The 15,620-nt window shown below is 40.5% G+C and overlaps 1 protein-coding gene and 1 long non-coding RNA gene across 61 annotated transcripts in view; one reads left to right on the top strand and one right to left on the bottom strand.

Annotated features, from left to right (window-relative positions):
- The window catches only part of CELF2 (CUGBP Elav-like family member 2), an 874,126-nt gene that overhangs the window by 248,126 nt on the left and 610,380 nt on the right, over positions 1–15,620 (bottom strand). The gene's annotated exons all lie outside the window — the stretch shown is intronic.
- The window catches only part of CELF2-AS2 (CELF2 antisense RNA 2), a 33,948-nt gene that overhangs the window by 16,939 nt on the left and 1,389 nt on the right, over positions 1–15,620 (top strand). The window contains exon 5 of the long non-coding RNA NR_046108.1: positions 13,215–13,602. This is a non-coding gene — a long non-coding RNA (CELF2 antisense RNA 2). The remainder of the gene's footprint in view (positions 1–13,214; positions 13,603–15,620) is intronic.

The following is a 15,620-nucleotide window of genomic DNA, read 5'->3' as shown; positions in this document are numbered from 1 at the left end:
TTCCTCCTCTAGTCCATTCTGTAGCTTACTGAATTCATCTTCTTAAACCACAGGTCTAACCATGCCATGCCCTGCTATAAACCCTTTACTAGATCTCTAATGTCTAGGGAACAATGTCCAACCCCCTAGCCCAGCATGCAAAGTCCTCTAAAATTCAGCCTAACATCACATTCTCTGCTTTATCTCTCATTTTCCACTGATGATGTTCCCATCTGGTTGGATTGGTCACTGCCCTCTAAAGATGTCCGAAGTGTTTCTACGCATATGCCTCACTCATGCTGTTCACTCTGCCTCTCATGTCTTTTCCCCTCATAGCCATGGGTACAAATTCGTGCCTCCTTCAATGCACAGCCTTGCCTCACCTGAATGTCCTCAGCACTTCACTCTAGCCTCCTTTCTGGCATGCCTCACCTTTGCTCATGTGTGGGCATTGGCTTTTGCCTCTCACCTCCTCTACTGAAGCACAACGTTCATTAAAGGCTCAAATCACACCTTAACACCTGTGTTCCCAATGCCTAACACACTGCCTTCTACCTAAAGGGCATTCAGTGATTCTGTCACAGTGGAGAATGTATCAGAAGAACAGACTTCATTGGCAGGAAAACAGTTAATCATCTTCTACTCCAACATTTAAGAAACATGTATAGTATGCGAGGCCCTGGGAAGTAGACCGGCCCTCCTTCTCCTTTGGAAGTTCTGATAAAGCCTAACTACTTCACCGCAGGTAAAAAGAGAAGTCTGAGGTGAAATTTTGACTTTAGGTGCCTGGAGAAGAGGCTGTAGAAGGACATTTGCTAGCACTATCCAGCAACGCAGGGTGGGGTTCAAAGGCGTGTGTTATAAGACGATGTTTCTGTGGGTATGTGTTGTTGTGATAGGCTGATTATTCCTACTGACTGAATAATATGGAGTCAAATCCTGTCATAAATGTGATGTGTCTCATTCCAGGCCTTGCTTTAATGCACTGGCATTTTGAGAAGAAAATGATAGACAGCTGCAGCTCGCTGCTGTGCGATAACAGTGCCATGTTCTACGTCAGTCGACGGGCCGTCAGAAGGGCATAATTTAAATGGAGAAGCCAGTTGCTACTTCCCTTCACCTGGGCAATTTCAGTTAGAACTCTTTCAGGCACTCAAAAGACACAGGTTTTTGCCCCTTGAAAAAGACCTGGGAGTCCTAGGACTCTTTAGGTTTACTCTTGTCTAGTGTCAACTGCTTAAAATACCAATGCTTTATCATCCACACCCCATCCCAATATATACGAAACACATCTCTCATCACCTATCAATCTTTTTACATTGTTCATTCAGTTTGGGAGCCGGTATATGAAGAGCATTCCTGGGGTCGTCCATAAACCCTGGGAAGATAACAGAATTCAAACTCAGCAAACATTCTCAACACCAATGCCATCTTTAGAGATGTAAGACAGCACTGATGTCACAGTGCTTTATATTTTGGGGAGCAGTCTTCCCAAACACCATCTAGAGACTGGAACTAGACAATTCTGTAGCCTCCTGTGGCCCTAAGTCTCTCAAACCCGCCTCACAGTGACAGGGTGGCACACAAGCCAGTGAATGTCTCCAAGCAAATCAGAGAGACCTAATACTTCCTTCAAACCCAATTCTCAAGGATCAATTTTGCCCTCAGTGGTTGCTCCCCCATCTCCTCCTGTCCCTTTAAGAAAGCAAGAAAACACCTTTCCCTGGAATGTGTAGAAATATATTTTTACATGAAATTTTATTTTGGTCTAACCATGCAGGAAGCTATTACCCATCCATTATCTTTATGTGCGTGATTAGGAATAATAGCTGATTTGTGAAGTTATCTATTACGGGAAATAATCAAGATTAATGAGCCCTGTGGCACTTGCTGAATGCCTCGAGAGATTTATTGCTCAGGCTGTGCATCTCTCCTGTTGTGTTGCTGGTGCTGTCGGGAGTTTTTTTTTTTTTTTTTTTTTTTTTTTTTTTTAACAAATGCAAATGGAGACATGGATTCACTGTGGAAGAGGAAAAACGCTCTTTCAGTGTTATCAAATATTTTGGACTGCTCAGCCTCACCTCTCTCAATGATGCTATTTTACTTTACATAATGATGTTGGAATGTTGGCGTCTAATCCCCACTCCCTATCAGACCCGGGTAGGCAGCGTGCAGCTCACACCCTCTGCAGTGCAGGGAGCAGACACAAAGACGCAGCTCACTTTGGACTCCTGTCCAAAGTCAAGACACAGGCCAGGCGGAGGGAAAAATACGGTTGTTATTGCTGCGAATGCCAGGGGAGTTTAAATCACCTGCTCAACTGGGGAGATTCCGCTCTCTCCTCAGTGGAGCTGCCCTATAGCTATAAGGGTCTTCCAGATGGCACTGCATTATCCTGAATAATCCTGTTCATTGAAAAACAGTGGGTACCTATAGATTTGATCCCGTGTATTAGAACACCATGAAAGAAGAGTCCAGGAGATTGTCAAATATATTTTGATTGCAAATTGTTATTTGGCAATAACAATAGCTAACATTTATGAAGTTCTCCTAAGCACTTTCACGTGTATTAATTCATTAAATCCATCACAATGAACTTGTTATTGGTACTGTCGCTTTCCTCAGTTTACAGATGGGCCGTTGAGGCACAGAGAGTTGACAGAAAAGGTCTGGATTATTGTGAAGGTCTGGATTCATCCAGGGCAGTGCTATCCTCGATGTATTTCTGGAAATGGAGTGGTGACCCAGGATTCAAATGGTGGTGCAGTCTGTTTTATTAACTGTGTGGTTAATATGACATTATAAAAACTGCTTCTGACACAAGGCAGATGGGGAGGTGGGGACAAAAAACTCCCAATAACTGGATCCCATCTTGGGGAAGCAGATGCAGGCCCTGAACCAGACCGCCTGCTTTTGCATTCCCAATATGTAACTTTAGGCAGTTTCTGTCAACTCTCTGTGCCTCAACGGCCCATCTGTAAACTGGGGAAAGCAGCAGTACCAATAACAAGGTCACTGTGATGGATTTAATGAATTATTATACATAAAAGTGCTTAGGAGAACTTTGTAAATGTTAGCTATTATTGTTATTGCCAAATAACAATTTGCCAATCAAAATGTATTTGACAATCTCCTGGACTCTTCATTCACGGTGTTCTAATACACGGGCTCAAATCTATAGGTACCCCATGTTTTTCAATGAACAGGATTATGGTATAAAAGGTGAACATCAAATTAGGAGTTAAAAGGTCTGGCTTCTAGACCCAGGCCAGCCACTGAACAATGATGTGCTGCTGACCACAGCACTTTACTTTGGGTCTAGTTTTCTTGTCTGTAAAGAACTGGAAAATGATTTCCAATGTCTTCAACGACAGTATCTACTAAACCTTAAGGTTATACTTCTTCTTTTTGTTAACTTAGGGGGAAGAACAGCATGATGATTAAATATAAAATCACTGCCATATTCTCAATATTTTACGTAAATGAAAGAAAAGCCAAACGAGTAAATTCAAATACTGAGAATATCATTGTATTATCAACTAATAAAGCCAGAGTATTTGTAGAAATTTTCAGAAACCAAAGCCTTTGAAAAATACAGTAATAGCAGAACATCCCAAAAGGATACTTTTAATGTGTTAGTGCCTAGAATTTCCGTAATGATATTAAGAGGATCATTGGGTTTATTTAAAAGCGTATATACTGATGACCTTAGCAGTTTGACGATAATGACCTCTTTGTTGCGGGGTCTGTATTCTCTAGACAGTAATTTTCACATTCTCTGGGCAGACCTTAGAAAATGAGACCGTGGGTTTTTTTTTCTTTTATTCTCTTTCCTAGGGACTTTTACTAATTATCAGGTAAAATCTTAGAATTCTATATCAATAGTAAATTGACTAGTTTTTTTAAAGTGGTATTTTCATTTTCAATTTAAAAACAGAAATGAGTCTTTGGGAATTATACCAACTGTGAATTTAAGTGCATGATTATCATTTTTCTCGCTCAACTCCACCCTTGACTCTGCCCATTAATATACTGTCCATCTTTCTTGAAGCCCAAGTGAAATTCTAAGACATCATCTTCAGCCTTTCCAAATGACATTCACCACTCAGCACCCCAAAGCCTGTTTAACTCTAATGTAGCATTTTGTACAGCACACTTAATTGTGCTCTGGCACACGCCTTCTTTCAACCCAGTAAGGACCTAAGCATAGCATCTACCTCTAACCCACATTTGTTCAAAAACACAGCCAATCTTGTGTCCATGCATTCCTCTGGCTGCCCAACAAGACCCTGAACACAAGAGCCGCATATTCACTTGCGTTTGTTTCCACCACCATATCTGGCAGACACCATCAACAAAGCTATTACTCCACCTAAGCTGTGGAATTGAATTATTTTACTTCTTGGGGTTACATCCAACCAGAAAACAAGATAGTAAATTCTTCTGGAGGAAAATGAATCTTCCAAGCGACAGTTTCCTTTCCTTGCCAAAACATTACTTGCTCAGACCACTGGCAACCAGCAGGGACCGGATCTTCACAGTGGGCTGGTAATGGCTGTGACCCTTCAATAGTGGGGTCTGGGCCCCTGGATTGAGGGAGCAGTAAATCATGTCTGATATAGTCCATGCTGTGGTTGCTGAGACTGGCAACGGGAAGCACAGAGTGAAGACGTGGTCAGTACATGTCAGCCTTGGTTTCAAGGCCCTCTCCGTACACTTTCTGATCTAATTCTCCCTTATCACTAAATGAAAATGGCATCATCATCCCCTTTCTAATGATGAAGACACTGGGGTATGGAGAGGTTCACTGGCTTGCCCAAGTCAGTGGTGGAACCCAGAGTCCAATTCAAGCTGTCAGACTCCCAAGTCCTTGCTCTCAACCACTCAACTCGGTGAGATGGGGCAGAGAGTAACTACATGCATCACCCATTGCAGGAAAAGGGGAAATATGGAAAATGCAAAGGAGAAAACAGGTCAAAGCAGAGGGCTGAACTGAGGTTCTAGAGAGGGAGCCTAACATTACCTTAGTAAAAACTTTCATAGAAGACCCAAGCTATTTTCCATCCTTGATAGGCTGGTTATTTGGGGTCTTGGCACCCCTCCGTGACAGAAATAGATACCACCATCATCACGCTACTCCTAGGCCAGTCGGTTGTGGCCTCTTCCCGTCCCTGTTATTTAAACTCAATTACATTTACATTTAAGGGTTCCTTCCTAGAAGCCCCTTTCACAGAGCAGTCAAGAAGCTGAAATACACATTTGTTTCCTATTATTAGGAATTCACCAGTTGGCACAGTCCCCAATCATGAGCATCTGTCAAAGTGATAATGGTCCTTTCACTCCTTTCCCCAGTTCATTTTTATTTTCCCAAAAGAGGTGTCAGCTGTCAACAGATTCCGTGGTATGAACAGAAGGGTCACCCTGAACCCCCACCTCACTGCCAATCAGGATAAGATAACAATCACAACCGAAGGATGCACTGTGTCCTGGGATGGGACCCAGGGTTACGATCCATCCTCATGGCTGACTCCTTCATGAAGGGAGAGGAGGAACACTATTCTTATATGAATGGAATTTTTTATCTGACATCTATTTATTCAGCTTAGAGATATTAGGAAAAAGTAACTTCACCTCATTCCATTTACAGCTAATCATTACACACCAAGGGGCTGTTTCACACACACTATCTGAAGGACAACAAATTCTGACCATTTTGCTCGAAGGCAGCTTCTTTCTCCATCTACAAGAGGTATCTTGAAGTCAATAGATTGTTTCCTACCATGGATGAAGCAAGCAGGCCATAAAGCATGGCTTACTCACAGACAGCATGGACTTCATGCCAAGAGCTCAAAGAATGTGGTTTTCAACTTAAATTTGGAAATGTGAAACACTGACTCCAGAGATCTGTAATCTGAAAATCATAGCATTTTTAGAACTGGAAGGGATCTCAGAGCTCATCTAAGTAATCTCCTCATTTTACAGATCAGAGACTTGAGAGCCACAGAAGAGGAGTGATTTACATAGTTACTCTCTATTCAGAGCAAAGTAGGATCTGGAGCCATTTTTATGTCTCCTAAGGACTCAGTTACTGCCCTGCAGGGCCACCTAGCACAGTGCCTCACCCAGGCCAGCCATCAGTACGTTTCTGTTGAACAGCTGAGTGATCTGGAAATATAGAACAACTAGCGGGAAGAGAGTTTGGAGATAGATATCAGCACCTGGGCAGGTCATACAGCTCATCCTTATCACTGCAACGAAACAAAGTTCAACCGTTGGCTGCAACTGAGTGGACTCTCTTTAGGATCCTCTGTTGGAAGGAGCTAGAAGCAGGATACCATTTTTTTTTCCTATGTTTTCTTGGAGTTTTAACAGATTTGGATTCTGAAAGAGTCCCTGGAGGTAAAGCAGAGATGGGCCTGTGTGAGCGTGGACAGGGGGTGTCACCTTCCTCATTCCTGCCCTCCACAGGACTCTGGGTCCAAACAGAAGCAAGGGATGCAGCCCCAGCCCCAGGCCATAGGAACACATGCCACTCTGTGATAAACTGGCCAAAGTGACAGGCAAATCTGCAAGTCTCTCCAGGGAACGAAAACTAGGCCAGGGTGATGTGTTATCAGGCCCAGAATAAAACTTGTTTTATTTGATTCTCCATGAGTTAAAAATGCATGGAAGACAGCACCAATATAATGGGGACATCAGAGGCCAGGGAAAATACATCCCTAAGTGATGAATGTGTCCTGAAAGCCTTTCTTTCTTAAGGTAAAGAATATCAAGGAAGCCCAGCTGATACACACTAGAAACCCTTTGCCAATACTTATTTACCAGAGTGGGCAAAAAAATGTGTCAAGTATGCCAGAGAAAAAACAAATCTGTCAAAATCTCCTCGTACAAATTTTCATCTATTTCTAAATCCATCTCCCATGAGAACCCTTCCAGAGGTTCTAACACGTGAATTTAATGAAATCTCCTATTTTTTATTTTTTTTCTATCTCAACTCTTCCAAGTTCTGGCTGGTATCTGATCCCTCAGTGCCAAAACAGCAAAGCAGGCTCCTCAAGTAGAATTTCCATCTTTCCTGGGAAAAATGTTCTATTGGGAACGTGAATGCTCTTTCCCTAACATTTTGTTTAGTCAGTTTTTCAAACTTGAATTGTCCCAGGTATGACTTAGAGAACTTGGATGCTAGTTAAACTTGAGTTTTCAAGAAGCACCCTTTCAATTATGAGACTGAGATTTAGACACCAACTCCTGAAGGCTTCTTTCTTCCTCCCCCTAGGCTGCTGGTCTTTTTGCCAACCTGGGTAATAGAAAATCCCTTTGTAAAAGCTTCTTCAAAAAAAATCTTACATTTTTAGCTGATGCTATTAACATGAGAACATGTCCCATTTTATAAAAGTTCTTATCTGCTAGAACCAATGTACATGAGTAAGTCTTCACTTCACTAATGAATTTATTATAAGACTGGAATTGCCCCCTATCCCCAAATAAGCACCATTTAAAGAATAATTTTTTCTAAGTTTGATTTCTATGAAATGGATGCTAAAGCAACATCTGAGAAATTCAACCAGCACCTGTTTTTCAAAGGAACACCAGACTAATTCATCTCACTGGGCCCACTCAGAAAGTAAAACCAGAAGCAGGCTGAGACAGACAGCCCTAGCCTGCCTCTAGAAACTGGCAGCTGGCTCAACTTAATTCTAATGACAACAGACGTGGATCAACTTGTGGTTCATATAATTTTCTTTTCATTAGGTGACTATCAGGACTTTGACTGAAATTTAAGACTGTCTCAGCAAAGCCTGTCCAGCATCCTCCTCCACCTCCGGAATAGGGGCTTATCACAGAAGTCTTAAATTAACCACCCACATAAGGTTCTCTCTACAATACACAATGAAAAGGCCCTTCAATATCCAAATCACTGTCATGCACCAATTATCTTCTCACAGAATGAGTGTCTGATAGAGAGGAAGGTAATGGTTAATGCAGACAGAAACTTTCACGTCTAACACTGCCTTTGCCTGAAATAAGTACAAAGTCTACTTATTTTTATAGATGTCCAGGTAGCCATCAGTGAATCCATTTTCTGAGTAATCACAGGTAAACTGCAAACTGTATGTTCCTGGTCTTAATAGAGGAACTAGTAATAGCCACATCCCACTAAATATATGTACTCGCCCACTTGCTCATTCCATGAATGTTTACTAAGCACCTAGGATGGTCCAGGAACTAGGTGCTTATAAGAAATTATCCATTCATGACTGTAAAAGACTTGTAAAAATACAGCTCATTTAAACAAAGAAAAAGCAAGGGGAACTAACATTAATGGGGTCTCTACTTGGATCTTTTACATGACCTCACTTAATTCTCACAATAAACCTATGTTATTTCCATTTTTAAAATGAGGAAATTGAGGTTGTGAGAGGTTAAATGATTTGCTCAAGGTGACCCTCAGTAGCAAAATCAGCATTTGAACTAGCATCTGTCAAGTGCAAAGCTCTTTCCTCTCTACCTTAATGACTCTCATAAATATGGCTAAAACATTTATAAACCGGAGAGCAATTCACAACAGTTTATAATCTGGATGGTTCCATTTCATTTTTTTCTTAGCGCTATAAGTAGTAAAAATGGTCAGCAGCTAACAAATCCCAAAGTCATCTTGCAGTACAGTGCATCTTGCTATTGCTGTTTGCACTCTACTGTGGTAACTCTGATCATATGTGATGATACTGCCAGGTGATGGCAGAAGCTGACCCAAGAGGGAAAGGTGAGTGACAACTTCTCTTTTCATCTTGAATTGCTAGATTCCATGGCCTAAAAAGGGGGGGGGGGCTGTATTAGTCCATTCTCACACTGCTATGAAGAAATACCCAAGACTGAGTAATTTATAAAGAGGTTTAATTGACTTACAGTTCTGCATGACTGCAGAGGCCTCAGGAAACTTACAATCATGGCGGAAGGCACCTCTTCATAGGGAGGCAGGAGTGAGAATGAATGCCAAGTGAAGGGGGAAGCCCCTTATAAAACCATCACATCTCCTGAGAACTCACTATCACAACAACAGCATGGGGAAAATCCCTGAACCCCCATAATTCAATCGTCTTCACCTAGTCCCACCCTTGACTCATGGGTATTATTACAATTCAAGGCAAGATTTGGGTGGGGACACAGAGCCAAACCATACCATGGGCCATCTGCATTTTCCGCACGTTTTTGTTGAGGTGACAGCTGTACTTCAACCTAAAAGCTGGGTATCTGCTAAAACCAAGGTCTACAGATGGGAACATAAAGCTATTTTAGAATAAGAGTTCATTTAGGTGAGAGGACTTTAGTTCAGGTAAGTACAAAAAACGTATGAAATTTATACATTTTTGAGATACTCCTCTCTTGTCACTCTCAGTAAGTTTTAGAACGTTTTTAGTTTTACTTCCAGGGCAATAAATGTAAGGAGTCCCCTTAAAACTCCAGAGAGGGTAGGGAGTAAGAGTAAAACAGAGGAGTAAGTAGTTTTATACTTTGAGTACATGAAGGAGATGCACCCCGTCACACCCCAACTGTACACACAGACTCCAAATCGCAATAGAAAATGTGAGCTGCTCAAGTGATTTAATCAATTGTAAAACAAATCTCTTTGGGTCCAACAGCATTTGCTTAATTCTTTAATCACATCACGTTATGCTGAAGAAGGGAGCAGCATGATTCTCTAAAGCAAAGCAATGGATGTGCCCAATAGCACCATCACTCCCAGACAGCAACCACTGGACAGCCAAAGGTTTAGAGTCTTTTCTTGCACAGGTCAAGAATATGTAATAGGTAAGAGAATACAGACTGGCAGCCTCCGATTCTTTTATATTTTCTGCAAGCCGTGCATGAAGAGAAAGAACCGCCCACTCTTTTCTAATCTGACATAATTATTCATTCACCCATTAAGCTTTTAAATAAGTCCAGTGTTACATCTCTACCTAGCTTTTCTGAGTGGTTAGTTTGTAGGGAGTATAGATAGATTTTGGAAGATAGGGGATTTGGAAATGAACAAGGTTCTGGATGAATGAAACCAGTGACTCTAGAAATGGGTCAAGCATTAAAATGAGGCCAAGGAAAAATACATTTAGGGACTATTTCGACTTGGGACTGTGTTATTCTCTGTGAGCACCTGTTATAGGTAGAACTCGTTCAGCTCTGGAAAAGCAGTGAATTCATTCCCTTCCCTTGGTAATCATTTTCTGTGAGCAAAGCATAAGTTTATGAAAGATGAAATCTGTAGCACCCAAGAGAGAAATGTTGTTGAACTCGATTTCCCATTGCATACATTCCGCCCCCCACCACTTCCTTTAGGATAATACAAGGAAGAACAATTATACAGCAACTGGAGGAGCATTTTTTTTTTTTATAAATAGACTGAATGTCTTAAAGAAGCTCTCAAGTATCTGTATCTATTAGACTATGGAATTGTCCTCCAAGGGAAAGCATTCAAAACGAAATGGATGAAACACGAATGGAGGGAATTATCTCAAACCAGAAGCAAATGGTCTGCTCTAGCCTACCTACGCAGGTCACTTCCCAGCTCTCATTTCTATTTTGCATTCCCTTTGGTATGCTTTTCTCAAGGATTACTTTGGGCTTTAGCTGCAAAACTCCTAATATGCTTTTACAGGTGTTACTGTATGTCTAAATCCTGATGTAGCAGTTTGAAAGACTGCTGTCTTTGTCCTACATATTTTTCTTCTACTCACATAACTTCTCAAGCTGTGGGACTAGAGTCCATAAAAGTGATATTAATTTTATGTTTATGTGCACTGTATGGTTTTGATTATGGTGAATTGTTCATAATTCATCTGTCAAGAGGCTCACCCCTGTACTTCAATGTATCTCACTTACAGGGCAATGAAATGTTTCACACGACGATAAACGCTAACTTTGAACCTAATTGCTTTCTGGTTTCAACTTCAAATTTTGCTGATAAAAGTAATAATAGGTATTTTTTTACAAGGCTCAGAGGATTTGCATCATTTTCCAGAAGACAAAAGCATACACATTCAAGGCTCAGTATTTGGAAGACAGAAGTTTCGAACGCCAACAAATTGACCTCATTACTTCTGGTATTTTGATCACGCTTAGGGCATCAGGTCTCTCGTTATAAAAGCCTTACAATGCCTTCAGTACTGGACTCATCAGAACTGACCCACTTGGGATTATTTCAGATGTTTCCAGAGTCGTGTTTCCTTACTTTCCCTGTACTTGGCTTTAAGAGAGAAACAACTGGCAATGGTGGTCATTATAAAAGCACCCAAACTCAAAGCCTTTTGCTGGGGTTTGTTCTGGTGTTGGCACACATTCCTCCCTATGTGCACACTTGGTTCTTACAACCCCTCTGTACACTGAAAATCTGGTATTTATAATGATAACCCTCGGCACTGTGTGAACTACTACCACCACGGAGACATTCACTTGTCTCAGAGTTAACGGTTTGCAAAACGGCAAAGGACTTGGGAAATCACCGTTTTATAGGGGAGGAAATTGAAGCCCAGAAAAATAAAGTGACTTGCCTAAGGTTACTAAGGAGTCAATGACAGAGCAAGAATTCAAAGCCAGGTATTATCTACAAGTCCAATACTTCTTTCATAACCTCTCTAGTTTACTATAACCTGCTTTTTTCAAAAGCTACATGTTATCAATAACCAAGTTAGATCTGCAAGACAAGCTCCCCTACAGTCAATCCCCTGTAAGCCTGAAATTATACTACTGACTACCAAAGCCTTGATTTGCAGAGCTCAAACCAGGTGATTTAAATTTTCCTAAGGCTTAGGAAGTTAAAAACAGACCTAAGTCCATAGATCAACTCAATGCTTCTTTGACTATAAACTTTTCCCTAATGAATCCACATCATTTTAGTATGCACCAAAGGAAAGGCTAAACACACAATTTCACCTAGAGCCAGCATTCTTTTAAAAAGGCAATGCTAGGTGCTACATGTTACACTGGTAACAGGAGAAATGTGAGTGGGCAATCAGTACTTAATTCTGAGCTGTAAAGCATTCTTAGAAGCTTTCACCTAAAAAACATTCGAGAATTGACAAGTAGCCCTGGATCTGGGTCTGTCCACAGATATTAAAGCAAGCTGTGCGCATTTAAAGCCCTCAGGCCACATTTACCTAGCTCTTGCTGTATAACAAATCAAGCCTACGTCCTTGCAATGCTAATGCACCCCCATAGCAACTGCCTTTTCTTTTTACTCTGTCCCTTTTTGCTTGCTGCTGAATTTGGGCTCTTTGACTATTATTTACAATTCTAAGACAAAGTTCTGTATAGTATCCTCCTTATCCTCCAATAATCTTTCTCGAGGAGGAGTAAAGTTGGCCTGATTTAAGCTTGGCGTCTGTCCACCAGGCCAATGCTGTTAACAAGCTTCCCCCATGTATGACCATCAATATCCCATCTGCTATTTTAACTTCTGCTTGTTCATGTCTACCTGGACTCTAAAAAACAAACAACAAAAATACCCACAATGGATCTGACTTGTTTTTCCTTCTGAATAATTCAAGAGAGAGTTAAACTAATGTTCTTAATTGGTATTTTCTCACACTAAAAAAGTATGCTGATATATCATTTTTCAATAAACTTCTAACAAAAACAGGAAGAAAAAGGAAAGCTTTTTGTTTCACTCATTCTGAGATACTGATGTTGGCAGTTTATTAAACATTTTAATTAATTGAGATTAATCAGATTACTAGTATTTTGCCCTAATACTGATGCTTTTTTCTTGCCTACGACGTTTTCAACCATCATTCCATAGCACCTGCTTGCCTGGATCCTTCAGGAATCACTCCTCCTTCCTAAGAACGCTGATGGCTGCTCACCCCCATTTCATTCTCAATGTCACCTGCTTGGCTGCAAACACTTTATCCGCCAAAGACAAGTCTCTAAGTGAACGCTAAACCAACATTCACTGTAGACCCTGGACATTTAAGTCCATACGTATGTTCACAGCAATAATCCACTTAATTTACACAGCAGCCTTCTTTTGAGTTTCTTAGAGCTCTTTGCAGATAGAATAAAACACCTTCAACATACCGGTTTTGGGAATCCAATTACCATCTCACAAACTTTATCACATCGTACATGTATCTGTATACCAGGACTGCTCTCCATACGTTACTGAATAAGTAAGGTTGTAAAATAGAATATAATCTTTTTACTGGGCAGTTCTCACATTAACCTTTTCTTTTTTTCTGTTTTAGAAGAGACGGGGGCGGGGAGAGAAGAGGAATGCTGAAAGGGCATTATGCTTTTGCTATTTAGTAAAAGAAGTATCAACATGCCTTCTGATGACTCCTGAACATCCCTTACAAATGAAGGAGCCACAGAGTGGGGCAACTCCATGCCTTTATCACTCAGCCAGCCAAGGAAGAGGAAGACAATCAAGCCACACTTGACAAGGGACAAGACCATTCACTTTCAGGGCCAAGGGGATTAGGACAGAGCAGCATTTTCCCATAGTGACAAGAGGAAACAAGAGAATCGAAAGCATCTTTCAATTCCATTCTGAGTCAAAGAGGTTGTTCTTGCAGCCCAACTGGGAACCTACATGCAAACCAGTTCTATGAGAAAATATGTCCCCAAATTCCAGTAAGTGGTTGAAAGTGAACTTTTGACTAATTTGTTATTTAGAGACCAAATTCATTTGCTTTAGATATTTCAACATAAGAATAACACATAATTCCTATGGCTGGGCAAGACCAGGGAGTACGCACAAAGGAAATGGATATTTTCCTAGGTAGAGGTTGGAATAGAGCTGTGTCCATGTGCTCAGAGTTGCAACACATGATTTACACCTTTTGTGACACTCAGAATGGTTACCATGCTCTCAGCTGCACTGGTTGTATTTTTTGCACCATACCTACACTGTCTCTGCTCACACAAGTGCTGCCAATAATACCAGTCCCCCGTCGCAGACAGGAATGAAGGGCATCTTTCAGCAAATTTCAAAGAATAGCAGGTAATTTATCCCATAGTGAATATTAATTAGGCAAACCAAAAAACGGCAATCAGGCATGGGCTAGAAATCTTTCCCTTTAACTCCATGCTACTTCTAAGGCAGTACTAAGATATTTGGAAAACGGAAGGGTTCAATTCAGTGATGAAATTTTTCTTTAGGATAAGCTGACATATTTTCTAAGAATAGACCTAGGCTGGAAGCGACAGTCACTAAGTAACTTCCAATCTTTGGCTGTTTTTAAAAAATCCCTTAAGCAGCAGAACAGTCATTCCCAATCTTTACGAATATATTTTTAAAAAAATGTTTCAGCACCCTCATGGGATAATAGTTGAACTTTTGGTATCAGATGACTTGAGAAAAATACAAAAGGATATAAATTCAAAGCTAGTTTGAATTTGGTAATGTGTTTTGAAATAGACATTTTGCTGATCAAAAAAGCAACAAAATAGGTTGAATAGATGTTGTAACACACACATACTCGTATATACTTTAGCCTGCAGACAGAACTTGATGTGTCCAAGGATTTAGAACTTCTGATAACAACTACAGACCCTCGAGGGCTGTGGCACGGAGGCTAGAAATCACTTATCTAAGGTAGGTTTTCAAATTCAAAGCTTCCAAGTTCTATGGCCATTACAAGAATATTCTCAATTATTTTACATTTGATAACAGTATGAAAACTATTTAAAAATGTATAACCAAAATCATGAACATAAAGAAATTGTGAATTAAACCCTCACTCTGCTTCACAGCACTAGGTAAAACACGAAGGACATTTGTGGGTTTCCCAGCCACCACCCTGCAGCCATCACCTTATGTTACCAGCACCCCAGGGAGACCTGGCCCCTTCTCCTCAGTCAGCGTTAGTAAGATCAGCACTCTGTGAGGCCCAAGGCCATTCTGATGCCATGGTCACCGTTAACCAGTGAACCACAATTGAGTGAAATATAAAAACCATTCCACTTGAAACCAGAGTCCACACATGAAGTCTTTAGGCACAGTGCCTGACATATAGTAGGTGCCAGCAAATTTGGCTATTTTTATAACTATCACAAGCCAGTAATTCATTAAGCCTGGATATGAACAAAATTCCAGACCCTCATACCACTGTATGTTGCTGTGACTATTGCTAAACATCCCGGCGTGTTTCAATCCCTGCTGCTACTGCCATTCCTCTACTTTAAATAAACGTGTCTATATTCCCAGAAATCGTTAACTGAAAAGACAAAACCATTAGGGTAAGGGGTGTTGCAGCTGGAGGGCTTAAGTGCCACCAAAATATAATAAAAAGCCTTCCTAGAGAAAAATGCTACATAATTTGAAAGCGAATTGTCAAAGCTTAAGGGATAGTTTCTTCTACAGTGAGGGCAGTACAGGAGGCCCACTGAGTCACTAGCCAGTGTTACACTCTGCTCTGTCCAGATTTGTGAATGTTTCATAATTCAAGTATTATTGCTAAGATTTGACATGTTAATATTTTGGTATAATTATATTAGCATTATTTATATTTATCATAATTGTATTTCTAAAATATGTAACTTGTATTAGTAGTATGTTGTACAATAAGAGTGTGATTTGTGTAATAACTTATAATATATAATGTAATAGGATATTAATATAGTTATTAGTATAGTATTAACATTTTAAT

Source organism: Homo sapiens, chromosome 10, assembly GCF_000001405.40.
Source record: "Homo sapiens chromosome 10, GRCh38.p14 Primary Assembly".
In the NCBI taxonomy this organism is placed as follows: Eukaryota; Metazoa; Chordata; class Mammalia; order Primates; family Hominidae; genus Homo; species Homo sapiens.
The sequence above is the reverse complement of the archived record's forward strand: the minus strand, read 5'-3'. Positions and strand labels throughout refer to the sequence as shown.